Here is a 14,605-nt window from a genome sequence, read left to right on the forward strand (position 1 = left end):
GCATAGTGGCTCACGCCTGTAATCCCAACACTTTGGGAGGCTGAGGCGGGCGGATCACGAGGTCAGGAGTTCGAGACCAGCCTGGCCAATATGGTGAAACCCTGTCTCTACTAAAAATACAAATATTAGCCGGTCGTGGTGCCATGCGCCTGTAGTCCCAGCTACTCAGGAGGCTGAGGCAGAAGAATCACTTGAACCCGGGAGGTGGAGGTTGCAGTGAGCCAACATCGTACCACTGCACTCCAGCCTGGGCAACAGAGTGAGATTACAACTCAAAAAAAAAAAAGAAAGAAAGAAACAGTCCATGACCACACTGGGCAAGAACAATGGCACCAGGATGCCAGGCAAGACTCAGCTAACTGTTCGCAGGGAGCTCTGCCACAGGAGCCTCAGGACCCTAACAGAGAAAGAGACACACTGCCCAGGAAAGGGACGCGCACAGAAGGTTCGGAAAACAGCACTTGCCCAAACGGTAGACTGTTACACTTTCACCCAATCTGCCTTTTCTAATGTTTCAACAGCCGAGGGACTAAAATGTGAATGTTACAGTACTTTTCAATGTACTGTTTGAAAACACAGGTGAAAAAATGTCTCCAAGAAGAAAACCAAGATGTACTGAGCGCTTCCTAGGCGCTAGGCATGCTGCTCTGCGCTTTTGTGTGCCTCTGCTCAGCTGAAACAAAACAAACCACTCTGTGTGGGGCAATTTTTAAGCCCGGCTTAAAGATGAAGAAAACGAAGTGTAAAGAGACTGCTTCTCTACCACGGCCACACACAAGTGAGAGTGAACCCAGGGCCTCTCGCTTAACTCCAGGGCTGCCTGGCAGGCTGTGAGGAGAACAAGCACGCTTCTTCCTTGGTTCCAATGACCTGCAAGGACCGATCATCCCCAGCTTCAGGGACAAGAAGCCTCAGCTCCTGGATATCTACACACAGCACCAAACACCCAGAATGTTCTGTAAGCTTCATAACATTCTACTAGGCAAGGTTTTCTAAATTTAAAAATGATTCAAGTCATGATGTAAATATAAAATTATTAAGAAAGGCTTTTCTAGACCTTAATCTTTAAAAAATGAATCATGCCCTTAATCCCAAGTCAAATGCATTCGGCTCTAAGTCTTAGTCATAGAAAAGCCTCAAAGGCCCCTTTGCTCCACAGCCTGCCTGAGTGCTGAGCAAGCACTGGGCACTGCAGAGCAGCCACGCCCTTCCTGGGCCCTCCAAACAGCGGTGTTGCAAGTCCCTCTGGACATTCTGAGGAGCAGCCACAGCACCTTCTCAGGCCACAGCCACGCCTTTTGGATGCTGCCCCTTGCAGCTCTGCCTGATGAACAATCTCAGCAGTGCTCTTCAGAACACCTTAAAATTCCAGTGTGGCCTGCCAGGGGCTGCAATGCACAGCGACCCTTTCTGCCCCCACTTCTCGGGAGCACACAACTCTTTGGCAAAAAGAAACCATTTCATTTGGCAGTACTATACTTGCCTTCAAAGAATGCAGGGAGAAAGAAAACTAACATTTCTTAAGCACCATACACATGCTTTTACATGTTACTTCATTGAATTCTCATAATAGCTTAATGCTATCGGTTTTCTTCTTAATTTTGGGGGCATAGTGGGGAGATAAGCAAACTGATACCCCGGAGGTTGAGTGACTCATTCATGGAATGCAGCAGGCCCGTGAGTCAAAGCGAGTACATGGCAAGACCGAGTGAAGCTGGGGAACAATAGCCAAGCCAAGAGCGTTTTAAAGATACTTAGCATCTTCATCACACTGAATCCTAAGGTGACAGCACTTCCACTCGACAGCAAAATGTCAGATTCAACTGTTTCTTTCCGGTCTTCAAACAAATATTTCAGAAATTCAGAAATCACCTCACAAGATCAGTTCATAAACCTTTTGCAGGTCCTAAGCCTTGAGTGGTGAAGAAAAAACAAAAACCTTTTGCAAGGACCCACTTTGCATGTGCCAAAAGGTCTCCACTCTAAAATCTCACACTCTTAGGAGTGACAGTCACACAGAAAGGACGGCACATGGCAGCAAATCCTGGGAGAGCAGTGAGCAATGGGTGCCATGGAAACTCAGGGAGCTCGCCTCTCAGGAAAGGTGTCCTGGAAATGGGGCTGAGGATGAGCATGAAGGAACAAGGGAGCACAGACAGAATGAAGCCAGGAGAGGAGAGAGCCTGCCAGGCAGAGGCAGTGCAGAGCAAAGGTGGGAGCTGGCAAGTGCTTGTGTGGGCGAGGAGCTGCCCTGTTCCCGTGTGGCTGGGGTGCATGGCCTGCGGAAAGGGAAATGACTGAAAACTTCCAAGGAGAAGACGATGTGATCAGACTGGTTTCCACCACGGTGTAGTGGTCGCAAGGCAGGCTTTCGAACAAAGCAAGGCTGGGTGCAGACGTGACTCCGCCATTTAGTGGGCATGGAATTGCAGCAGTTACAGAATGTCGCTGGCCCTGACTCTCTCATCTCTAAAATACTTACTTCCATGTCATAGGGCTGCTTTCAAGTTTAATGAGATAATGAACCCGATACACAGCCAACAAAAATGGGAACTCTTCTAAAGATCTCTATTCACAATCAGACTAGAGGACGGTGTCCCAGAGGGCAGCTGCCTTTCCGGCTCTGCAGTGCCCATCTCACCTGACGATGGGAAGCTTGGTGAAGGGCACCGGTGGCAGGGTGAGGCCGCCAGGGAGGGCGATGGGCTCCATGGTCCCAGGACACTTGGACGTATAGTTCTCTAGGCTTTGGGCCACATCTTTCTTTTCTGAAGAGAAGATGAAAACAAAATAAAGATGTATTAGGCAAAAGTCAAAGTGGCTGGCTTTCATTTTACTTGGGGCATTTCATGACAGTCCAGTGAGTCCAATCTTCTGACAGAAATGAAGGGGCAGTGAGCAAAAGAGACCAGAACAAAGCAGAAGCCATATTCCACTTATTCGAAAATCACCGGCACTGCTCCTCTTAAGGGCCTGTGGATAAAAGGGAAATTAAGTTAGTATCCTCCAGGAGACTTCCATTTTCCAAGAAAATAAACCCTTATCAAATTTCAAGAAAGTCTGTAGGCAGGACTAGAGAATCAGTATATTTTATAACTTAACCATACTTTTTCAGCAATTACTAGGTAATTACCAAGCAAAATGCCAGGACCTGTCTGTCCCTCAGGAGTTTGTAATTTATCTGTATGACAGACACTTAGGCAAATAATTACAAATCAACATTTTTGATGCAAATATAGAGCTTTGTGAGAAAAGACTGTTGTTCACCATCCTGCCCCCATCCCTTTCACAAGGAGGGAGGAAAAGAGGACACAGGTGATAATCATGTCCGCTTCCTGTCCATGGCACAGTCTAGACAGGCCACGGACACAGACCCCTTCTCACCCACAGCATGACAGAGCTCAGGAGCACCTGCTGTGCTCTAGGACTCAGGCTGGCTCAGGAAGGCAGGCACTCCTGTCCCCACTTTGCAGATGAAAAACCTGAGACCAAGGGAAATTAAGCAGCTTGTCAAAGACCATGTACTTGGCCTAAGGCCTGTGGTTTTCTCCCTAGAGTGTTTTAAAGAATTAAGGAAAGGATGGGATTATGGGAGGGGTGTGAACAAGGAAGTCCCTCCTTGCAGCATCTAGCTTCTCTGTGAAATACCAAAGTGACTGCTGATGGGGAAGACAGAGGACTTGGAGAGAAGAGCAGCAGAGGGACACGATCGCCAGGGATGACACCTAGAACAGCGAAGTTAGATCCGACTCCAGGAGATGCCTTGGTCTTTCCCTATCTACTGTGCTACCACCTTAGGGGAAGTCCTTCAACCTTTCTGCATCTTGTTTGCCTGCAGTAAGAGGAGTGCCTATATCAGGAATTACTAAGGATAAATGCGATAATACATTAAAAAAGCAGTGAATGGCAGATACGGTGCACTGAATAAACTGAAATGATAATAACCATTATCATCATTATCATATAGCTGCACTGGAGTGGACAAAGAGCAGGTAAGTAGCTGTAAAGTGAAGCCAAGTGCTCCACTGAGGCTGGTGACCATAAATAATAAATATCAAGGCAAGGGCTTCATAGAGCTCAGGCACATGTATTAATTGTTAAACTGCTACCATAGGAATTTTCTGTGCCTACGCATTCTTCTTCTTCTTCTTCTTTTTTTTTTTTTTTTTTTGAAACAGGATCTCACTCTGTCTCCCAGGCTGGAGTGCAGAGGTACAATCTCAGCTCACTGCAACCTCCGCCTCCCAGGTTCAAGCAATCCTCCCATCTCAGCCTTCTAAGCAGCTGAGACTACAGGCATGTGTCACCATGCTTGGCTGATTTTTTAATTTTGGGTAGAGATGAGGTCTCACTACATTGCCCAGGCTAGTCTCCAACTCCTGGGCTCAAGTGATCCCCCCACCTTGGCCTTCCAAAGTACTGGGATTACAGGCATGAGCCATCACACCCAGCCTCCCTCATTCTTAGGAAGCCAGAGAGCAGAGCAGAAAAGTGACCAGAATTACTTTTGAATACAACACAACAATGTTAATCTGAAACATGAAAAAAGCCTTTAAATAACCAAATCATTCTCAATCTATAAAAATCTCCCAAAGGGCTCCAGCTGATATCATGTATATTATCTAATTTGCCTAATGTTAGGCAGAGCACTTATGGTTGAGGTATCCTATTCAGTTGAATTCTACCACCCCATACACACTCTCGGTAAATGCTGCTGAAATAAAGGGATCTATTTGTGGTGCCTCATGCCACTTGCACCGTTATCCAAGAAAGGAAAGGCACCACAGTGTATCACTCGGCTAAGCTCTGAATGGCATTTCTAGACAGAAAATAACGTACACACTGAGTAGCACAGGGGAGGCTGCTTCACCGCAGCGTGGTCTGGCTGTGCCATTTCATTAGAGAACCCCCGTGTTTGTGCTTTAGGTCTGGTCACTATGCTGTGGAGGAATGTCCTATGTAGGGATATAGCCTGGCTGTGAGCACTCTCAGAGCTTTGTGGAAGGCCAGGTTGGGGATGCCTCAATATTCACTTACTCCCCATGAGCGTAGCAGGGCACACCTCTCCGCTGTGCCTGCTGACTCCCTGAAGGGAGTCAAATGCTAATCTTCTGCTGGGGTGGAAAAGGGACCGTCGCCAGCTGCAGGGGCAGAAGCGATCTGCGGATATGTAATCAATTGTAAATGATTTTCAGCAGCGCCTACTGCCGTGTGGTGCTCCTGCTAGGGACAGGGAATGGGGGTTGCTTCTTGGCTTTCCCCTACTGCCATATGACCCCATCGCCATTTCAGTGGGGTTTCTAGAGTCAAACGCTTATGCCCAATTGTCAGCATGGCCCATCCAGTGCAAAGGCCCCATCCACCTTCTCCTAAAGGATTCAAGTGTCGGCTATAAATTGTTGCCAGATCTATTATTTCATCAGGAATTACAAACTGGTGATTTTCTAATTCTCTAATTCCTCTGCACTTAGAAGCTAGAATTTGTTTATAAGGAAGGATTTTTTCCTCATCAATCATTTGGTTATCCTGGAACGCAGACAACACAGACATTAATAAACGGTTGAGTCTTTCCCTTTATTTACTGAGTGGAAAACTATTGCCCTGTGAAACTCCAGTAATGACCAATGTGTTTTGTTTATTGTTTAGTATCATTATATACCTATGGATTTTTATCTCTTTGATGTTTCCATTGATTGTTATCACATCCTTTTTTATTTCTAATGGATACATAATAATTGCACATATTTCTGGGGTACAGTATGATGTTTTAATGCATTTACTGTATAACAATCAAATCAGGGTCATCAGCGTATCCACTGCATCAAACATTTATCGGTTCTTTGTGATAAGAGCATTCAAATTCCTCTCTTCTAGATCTTTTGAAATATACCTTTTTGTGAACTATAGTCACCCAACCGTGCATTAGAATACCAGAACTTACTTCTCCTAACTAGAGCATTGTATCCACTGTCCATCCTCTCCCCATCTCCCTTCTCCCAACCATCCCCAGACTCTTCTAACCTCTATTCTGCTAATTCCATGAGACAAACGTTTAAAAATTTCACACCTGAGGAAGACCATGAGGGATTTGTCTTTCTGTGCCTGGCTTTTTTCACTTAACATATGCCCTCCAGGTCCATCTGTGTTGTTGCAAATGACAGGATTTAATTCTTTTTTATGGCTGAATGGTATCCCACTGTGTATCTATATCACATTTTCTTTATCCATTCATCTGCTGAATGGCACTTAGGTTGATTCCGTATCTTGGCTATTTGAACAGTGCTGCAATAAATGCAGGCATGCAGTCACCCCTTCGACACTGACTTCATTTCCTTTGGATATATGCTCAGTAGCGGAATGGAAGATCATACAGTGGTTCTATTTTTAAGTTTTTTGAGGAACCTCCATACTGTTTAACATAATGGCCGTACTAATTTACATTCCCACCAATAGCGTGTAAAGAACCCCTTTTCTTCACCTCCTCACCAACATTTCATCTTTTGACTTTTTGATAATAGGTATTCCAGCTGGAGAAAGGTGATCTCTCATAGCGGTTTTCATTTGCATTTCCCTGATGATTAGTGATGTTAAGCATTTTTTCATACATCTTTTGGCCATTTGTATGTCTTTTTTTTTTTTTTTTTTTGGTGGGCATGTGAGATTTAAGGGCTGATTTTGAGAGATAAAATAAGTTCAGTTTCTCTATAAATTAATCATTATTGTCAAAGACACACTGATGCAAGACCAGCATATGAGCCCCTGTGTCAGATTAACAAGGTCTTCTTGAAGCATTAACCAACTCCTTAGTAAAGGTTATAAAGATTATAAAAAGCTTATGAAAGTTATATCTTGTGTTCAAGATTAAAATTTTATAGTTTATAAAATTTTGAAAAACAAATTTAATTGGTTTCATGCTATTTTATTAGGAAATATTGTTTGGAAAATTAAGGCTTCTTTCTCAAAGAACGAAGGTTTTCACCTTTCTAAAAAAATCCTTGAGTTATTACTTTGGTCAAATGAATGACTTATTTTACAATGATCTGTGATATAAGTGTTTTAAACCTTTGACCTTTCCAAAATCAAATTATAAATTATATCTTTTTCTGAACTAATTAATCCTTTAAGATACTAGGTTCCCTAAAGTCCAAAAGTGACATAATTTGTCTTATTTGGTATAAAAATTACACAGGAAACACTGTCAAATATGAAATGGTGTTTAGTTTTCTTTAGGCTATATTTACACAAATATGTTATTGGTATGTGTTCCAAAATCATGGGAAACTCCTATAATTCTGATATGACTTAGTGTACATTATCAGTAATAATTATAATTGTTATGTTAAATTATTGTGTGCCACAGAGGTAACAAATTTCCTTATGGATTGTATCTTTGACTATGGCTGCCCTAAAACCTTTTGTCATCCACAGACAATTGTTGTCTGTTTTGGTCTTTAGAAGGTGGTTTTATAATCAGCTATAAAACTCTACCAGGTGCTGTTGAATACAAGTTTCTGATAACTTTGGAGACTGTGACATCAGAATAGAAGAAAAACTTTCAGGACTCATGGAGAACTGAAATGTTCAGGAATATCAAGCAGAATGGGAATTAACTACAGACTGAACTAATACAAGACTGAAGTAATCTTTTTGATTTTTTGCTTAAAACGTTGCTGGTCCTTTGTTTTTTCAGAGTCAAGGAAACTTTTCTTTTGAGCTATTAACAGCTTTTAATGATTGAGTGTACTCCTATGAACAAAATTTAGAACATATTTGTTTCATTCTACCTGACTCTTCCAGAATTTGGAAACTATTTGTGAGTATTCTTAACACCTAATTTGTTGAGAGTTTTTATCATGAAGGGATGCTGAATTTTGTCAAATGCTTTTTCTGCTTCTATAGAAATGATAATATGGTTTTGGTTCTTCATTCCGTTAATGTGATATGTCACATCTATGTTCAACCATGTTCGCATCCCTGGGATGAATTCCACTTGATCATGGTGGAAGATCTTTCAAATGTGCTGTTGAATTTTGTTTGCCAGTATTTTGTGGAAGATTTTTGCATCTAATCTTCATCAGGGATATCTGTCTTTTGAGATTAGTTTTCTTTTGTTGATGGTGTGTCTTTCTCTGGTTTTAGTATACCAAAGTAATGCTGGCTTCACAGAATGAGTTTGGAAGTAGTTTGAGAAAAATTGGTACTAGTTCTTTGTTAAATGTTTCAGCAGTGAAGCCCTCAGGTCCCGGGCTTTTCTTTGATGGGAGACTTCTTATTACTGATTCAATTTTCTTATTCGTTTTTGGTCGTTCAGATTTTCTATTTCTTCATGATTCATTCTTGGCAGATTGTATGTGTCCACGCAGTTATCCACGTCTTCTAGGTCACTGAGTTTGTTGGCATATAATTGTTTGTAATAGTCTCTTGTGATCTTTTATGTTTCTGTGTTATCAGTTGTAAATTTCTCCTTTTTGATCTCTGATTTTATTGATTTGACATTTATTCTTTTTTTCATAATCTAGCTAAAGGTTTGTTAAGCTTTTCAAAACACCAGCTCTTCATTTCATTAATCTTTTGTATGGTTTTTCTCATCTCTATTTCATTTATTTCCACTCTGATCTTTATTATTTCCTTCTTTCTACTAACCTTGGTTGAGTCTGTTCTTGTTTTTCTAATTCCTTAAGATGCAGTGTTAGACTGTTTATTTGAAAGCTTTCTTCTTTTTTGATGTAGGCACCATCTTTGGCCAGTGGGAGTCCCTTCTGGTTGGTTCCTGTGTCCTTTGGATAAGGTCCCATTATTCTTTGATCCCTTTGTTTCTGGTTCATATCCAGCCCCAGGCCTAGAATTAAATCACTTCTCCAAGGAGCTCTCATTCCCTTTAGTGGAAAGAAGTGTTTAGAGACTAAAACCCAGAGGCTAGAAGTGCTCTTTGCTACTGGATTCTCATGGTCTCTGAAGGGCTTTACAAAGGACAGGACAACTTACAAAGTTTTCACAGTGATAAGATTATAAGTGATTTCTGCTTTAATTTTTTTTTAAGTTTAACAACGAAAAATAAAAGATTTGGACTATAAGCTCCTTAAAAGGAAGAAAGTCATGTCCCTACCCACAATTACATTTACTGAGCACTTACGATGTGCCAAATATTGTACTATGTTCTTTAGACTATAAAATCTTTAAGGCAAGGGATTCTGGTATATATTAATAACAAACTTCATTATTTTTTATCCAAAATAGGCATATAATACCCTCTTACAAAATACCTGCCAAAGAAGTGGGGAAAGGCATTATGATCCCCCTTTTAAAGTTCATAAAGATGAACTCAGGAACAACCCTGGACATTTGATTATGGATTGGTATCAAATGTCACCAAAAAATAATTATTAATGTTTTAAGTATAATATTGTAGTTATATAAGAAAATGCTCATTTTTTAGCAATGCATACTAAAGTATGAAGGTCTGAAATGATATGTCTCCGAGATTTTCTTTAAAATAATTCAGCAAATTTAAAAAGCAAGAGATGAAGTAAATGTGTAAAAGTCTTGATAACCACTGAATCCGGGTGATGGATATATGAGGATTCATTTTACAATTCTTTTTACCTTTATGTTTGAAAATGTTTCATAGCAATAATTTTTATTATATTTTGACAAATTATCATTGCATGTATTTATAGGATACAAAGTGTTATGATTTTTAATACAATGTGAAATGACGAAATCAAGCTAACATGTCCATCACCTGAAATATTTAACATTTTTTGTGATAAGAACATTTGAAATTTGTTCCTTTAGTAATATTGAAATGTACAGCACTCAACTCTTAGCCATATTCACCATGCTGTGCAACAGATCTCAAAAAAAGTCAACTTACTCCTCCTGTCTAACTGAGGCTTTCTACCTTTTGACCATCATCTCCCCATTCCACTTACCTCCCAGCCTCTGCTAACCACCATTCTACTCTCTGCTTCTATGAGTTCAATTGTTTTGAATCCCACATATAAGTGAGAACATACAGTATTTGTCTTTCTGTGTTTGGCTTATTTCACTTAGCCTAATGCTCTCCAGTTCCATCCATGTTGTCACAAATAACAGAATTTCTTCCCTTTTTACAGGTGTATAGTATTCCATTGTGTGTACATACCACATTTTCTTTATGCATTCATCTGTTGATGGACACAGCAATAAAGTTTAATGGGCTTGGAGAACTGAAATTATTTTCTCATGGTCATACAGAGGAACAGAGTTAGGATTCAGATCAAGAGTTGACCGAGTCTTCCTGTTCCAAAATATGAAGCCTGACCACATATACCCAGTGTTACCATAAGAGGAATAAAAGGACACAAGGCCGTGGTGGCTGCTGATGTCTGTTCCACATGCCAAGCTGGAGAAAAGCTTGTGAAAAATTTGACATGTTCACAGCATATGATTTGGTTAGTGGGAGGTGATGATTCCTCAACTTATGTCACTAAAAATCAATCCATCTTCTTCCATTTTTGATCAGATTATCCAACAATGATTTTAGTCAAATTAGAGCACCTAATGCCCTTGAAAGTTATTTTGAACTTTTTTTTTTTTTTTTTTTTTGAGATGGAGTCTTGCTCTGTCGCCCAGGCTGGAGTGCAGTGGCGCGATCTCGGCTCACTGCAAGCTCCGCCTCCCGGGTTCACACCATTCTCCTGCCTCAGCCTCCCGAGTAGCTGGGACTACGGGCACCCGCCACCAGGCCTGGCTAATTTTTTTTGTATTTTTAGTAGAGACGGGGTTTCACCGTGTTAGCCAGGATGATCTCGATCTCCTAACCTCCTGATCCGCCCACCTCAGCCTCCCAAAGTGCTGGGATTACAGGCTTGAGCCACCGTGCCCGGCCAACTTTTTGTTTTTTTTGAGACAGGGTCTTGCTCTGTCGCCTAGGCTGGAGTACAGTGGCGCGATCTGCAACCTCCACCTCCCAGGCTCAAGCGATCCTCCCACCTCAGCCTACCGGATAGCTGGGACTACAGGTGTGCACCACAACACCCAGCTAATTTTTCATATTTTCTGTAAAGATGGGTTTTTGCCATGTTGCTCAGGCTGGTCTTGAATTCTGGGACTCAAGTGATCCACCCACCTCGGCCTCCCAAAGTGCTGGGATTACATGAGTGAGCAACTACGCCTGGCCCAAACAGAACATTTTTAATGAAAGCCTAGTTATTACTTAACTATATTGTTCTTACAGAAGGAGAAAATATGATCACCAAAACTTTGGATCAGAAATGATTTACGGCCATTTAAATGGACACTGGCTTGAAAACCAGTGCATCACGATTTCACAGTTATTCTTGTCTCTGCTAAGTAATAATCGGAGACAACCAGGCTTGCATTCAGTCAGTTATGGTACTCTGAACAGGTAGAGAATAGAAAGAGGGGAAAGAAGTACATCTTTTTTTTCTAAATCCAGAAGGAAAAACCTAAGGAAGAAGGAAAAAGAAAACACGGAGGAAAAAGTACAGGTGTGATTTGATCAAATATCTGAAGTTACATTTTCACAATCGATTCTGGTACTTTCACTTATAGAAATAATACCACAGTTAGTATTTGAATGGTTTTCTTAGGAATAATGATATTGATCTTTCAACATAACAATGCTGAGGTCTCTTTGGAGGCTTCCACTAAGCAGGGCTTTGTCCCCTGGTGTCTACATAAGTGGAAAACAAAACAAAAGGAAAAGATGGAGCTGACGCATCTTTATTTGTACCAACACAGGCTATGTTGAAGGACATGACCTAAGGTTTTTTAGAAACTGAAATTCCTCACTAACACCAAGAACTGGGCAGACACAGCTTCCTTCCCAGACACAGGCTGCACTGAACTGGTCACCCCTAGCCCCACTCAGGGGAGGCCACGCCAAACGTCCAGCACAGAGCTGCAGACGGGAACTCAGGCTCTGTGACCAACGAACTCCCAAGACCAAGCAGGGCCCAGCCAAGTCAAATCCAGCACCCGGTTATCGGGACCAACAGCAATCAGATAAGTCACTCTGCCTCTCCACATTTACCTAGCCAAACTCCCTTCTTACAAAAGAGGCTTGAGGGTTTGTGAAGAGTATTATTCTCCATTAACAAATACGGTGTCATTGTTATCCCCATTTTATTACTGGCATACTTGAGGCCTAGGGAGAGGAAGTGATTAGCCCAAAGTCAGAAAACCAGTCATCTGTGAAGCTGGATCTCAAAGTCAGGCCCTCTACAAACCCTACATCTCACGATCTTTCTACACTAACCTTGTACATCCAATAGCATCCCACTGTCATGAAAAGGTTACTATCCCATTAAGTGCCCATTACGAGTACACCTGTAGCAACTTCCACTTCTAGAGCAGCTTCTAGCAGAACAGCACTCCCATCAGTAACTTAAAGAGCCAGATAAAGTGTCAAAAAGAGGAGGGGGCACTGGAGAGTGGCCAAGACATGGAGGACTTGCAAGATTCCAGACAGAAGGGAAGCTCGCTGAGAGGAGCACAGTTGCCTGTGGCACCACTTCACCCCGGGAGTGGTGCAGATTCTCAACAGGGGAGAACCACTGCCTGCGGCAGAGAAGCCGGCAGAGCGCTCCAGGCAGTCTCATGGGGCTAGGAGAGCCATGGCTGGGGCTGGAGCCACCAAGTGAGGCAGACCCTGAGGAGCCAGGTGCCAGGAGGAGCCAGGAGTAGTGACAGTGAACCCGGAGCTCAGCATGAGCTCCCCCTCGCTTGTTCCCATTCAGCTCCGCAGGACGGAAGGCTGCCAGGTCCATCCAAGACTGCCTCAAAAGCAGAGTTGCTGTTCAACTCTAAAAAGTGGCACCAGATGGCCTTTGCGCACTAACAATGAGAATGAGATGCATAAGCTGTAAAAGGGGCTTCTTGAAAAATCCATCAGAGAGCTGAGGATGCAAAGGAACAGGCATGAGCTAAATTCCAGGAAGCAGCAAGCTCTTCCTAGGAGACAGGGCCCAACAGCTGCTTTGTCCCTGGCAGAGGAGCAAGAGAAGGGAGAATTGGGCAGAGAACGGGGGAAGGAGAAAAGGGCTGAACTTGGAAGACACTTTCACCGCCTGCATGTAGGTGGGTGCAACAGAGTAGACTCCCATGGGCAAATCTACCATTCTCCAACGCCTCCTGCAGGCTTTTGCAGAGGGCAACGTGCAGTACACTGAGGCTGAGGGCAGGCAGGACAGCTAGGAGGACAGTCCCAGGCACTCAGGACCTCCCCTAGATGCCTGGCAGCTGCCACAGAAATCCAGGCAGGGCAGAGAGCTGGCAGATGCCCTGAGGGGCACTATGCTTTCTCCAAGCACAAAGCAGAGGCTTGCTGAGCTTGGTAGACAAGAGAACAACCGAGATTCCTCCTCCAAGACCATGGCTGCCAAAGGTTAGGGCCAAGCAGCAAAGCTTGAAGAAACCCCTCCAAGGCATCAGGACCCTTCACTGAGTGCAAGGCAGTACCCTGTGGAAGGCTGGGGGCAGGACCAAGAGAGAGCCCCCAAAATGCAGAAAGCCAGAGATAGGGCTGGAGATCAGAGAAAACTCCCCCAAACCCACAAATCCAGCATCCAGTCTCAAAGCACAAAGATGGAAAGCTGGTGACTGGCTGCAAACCAAACTCCAGTCTTTTCTGTGCCCAGACCCCAAGCCAACAGAAGGTCAAATCCTGACCAAACACCTGAAGCTAAAGATGAAATGACCCCAAGGAGAGCTAGGACCAAGGCTACACCCAGCTCAACTGCAGATCAGATTGGCAATGCCCCACCCCCCTGGTGGCAAGCCTTTTGAGGAGGGTAAATATTTACTTTATGCTTTTTAATACAAGTCCAAAAGAGGAAGTAGTACAATATTTGAAGGGGGTTATGTTAAAAATGCATATTATAATCTCCAGAGCAAGCACTTTTTAAATAGAGATATGGCTTAAAAAGCCAACAGAAGCCGGATGCGGTGGCTCACACCTGTGTTCCCAGCACTTCTGGAGGCTGAGGCAGGAGGATTGCTTCAGGCCAGGAGTTCAAGGCCAACCTGGGCAACGTAGCAAGACCCCCATCTCTACAAAAAAAAAAAAATGTAAAAATTAACCAGGCATGGTGGTGTGCACCTGTATTCCCAACTATGCAGGAGGCTGAGGTGGAAGGGTTGCTTGAGCCCAGGAGTTCAAGGCTGCAGTGAGCTATGATTACGGGCCACTGTACTCCAGCCTGGGAAACAGAGTGAGATCCTGTCTCAAAAAACAAAAAAGCCAACAGAAAAGACAAAGTAGAATACAAGCATGATATCGTAAAATATCTACTTGGCCTTTGACTACCTTGCCTGGCATACAACTCCTTAAATTCTTAGAATCTCCAAAGTGATGTATGTTTGTGCACTGAGTTGACCAAAGGCTGGCAGTCCCCAGGCAACTTCAGGATAAGGCTGGTCACCAGAAAGACCAAGGCATGATTAGAGCCCCACCACGGGGGACGGGAGAGAGACTGAAAGTCGAGTTGATCAGCAGCCAGTGGTCTAACGAGTCATGGCTATGTCATGAAGCCTCCATAAAAACCCAGAAAGACAGGGTTTGGAGAGCTTGCAAATAACAGCTAGGGGCTCCTGGAGGGTG

The 14,605-nt window shown here is 43.1% G+C and overlaps 1 protein-coding gene across 18 annotated transcripts in view, besides 3 other annotated features; it reads right to left on the bottom strand.

Annotated features, from left to right (window-relative positions):
* The window catches only part of TRAPPC9 (trafficking protein particle complex subunit 9), a 730,855-nt gene that overhangs the window by 580,882 nt on the left and 135,368 nt on the right, over window positions 1-14,605 (bottom strand). For all 18 annotated transcript variants that reach the window (NR_164662.1, XM_011517326.3, NM_031466.8 and 15 more), the window contains one exon: window positions 2,642-2,768. Coding sequence is in view for 17 of the 18 variants with exons in the window: in XM_011517326.3 (XP_011515628.1) it covers window positions 2,642-2,768 (127 nt within the window). In the remaining variant the exon portion in view is untranslated. The remainder of the gene's footprint in view (window positions 1-2,641; window positions 2,769-14,605) is intronic.
* Window positions 623-1,822: an enhancer, noted in NCBI's record as "P300/CBP strongly-dependent group 1 enhancer chr8:141319328-141320527 (GRCh37/hg19 assembly coordinates)". NCBI's record gives its function as "activates an origin of replication core promoter dependent on BRD2, BRD4, P300/CBP, MED14 and CDK7 cofactors, with strong dependence on P300/CBP, by STARR-seq in HCT116 cells {active_cell/tissue: HCT116}" and the evidence as "EXISTENCE:reporter gene assay evidence [ECO:0000049][PMID:35650434]".
* Window positions 1,839-2,339: an enhancer, noted in NCBI's record as "H3K4me1 hESC enhancer chr8:141320544-141321044 (GRCh37/hg19 assembly coordinates)". NCBI's record gives its function as "activates a minimal SCP1, AML or CMV promoter by ChIP-STARR-seq in primed H9 embryonic stem cells {active_cell/tissue: H9 hESC(primed)}" and the evidence as "EXISTENCE:reporter gene assay evidence [ECO:0000049][PMID:30033119]".
* Window positions 2,340-2,840: an enhancer, noted in NCBI's record as "H3K4me1 hESC enhancer chr8:141321045-141321545 (GRCh37/hg19 assembly coordinates)". NCBI's record gives its function as "activates a minimal SCP1, AML or CMV promoter by ChIP-STARR-seq in primed H9 embryonic stem cells {active_cell/tissue: H9 hESC(primed)}" and the evidence as "EXISTENCE:reporter gene assay evidence [ECO:0000049][PMID:30033119]".

The sequence above is a fragment of the Homo sapiens genome, chromosome 8, assembly GCF_000001405.40.
Source record: "Homo sapiens chromosome 8, GRCh38.p14 Primary Assembly".
In the NCBI taxonomy this organism is placed as follows: domain Eukaryota; kingdom Metazoa; phylum Chordata; class Mammalia; order Primates; family Hominidae; genus Homo; species Homo sapiens.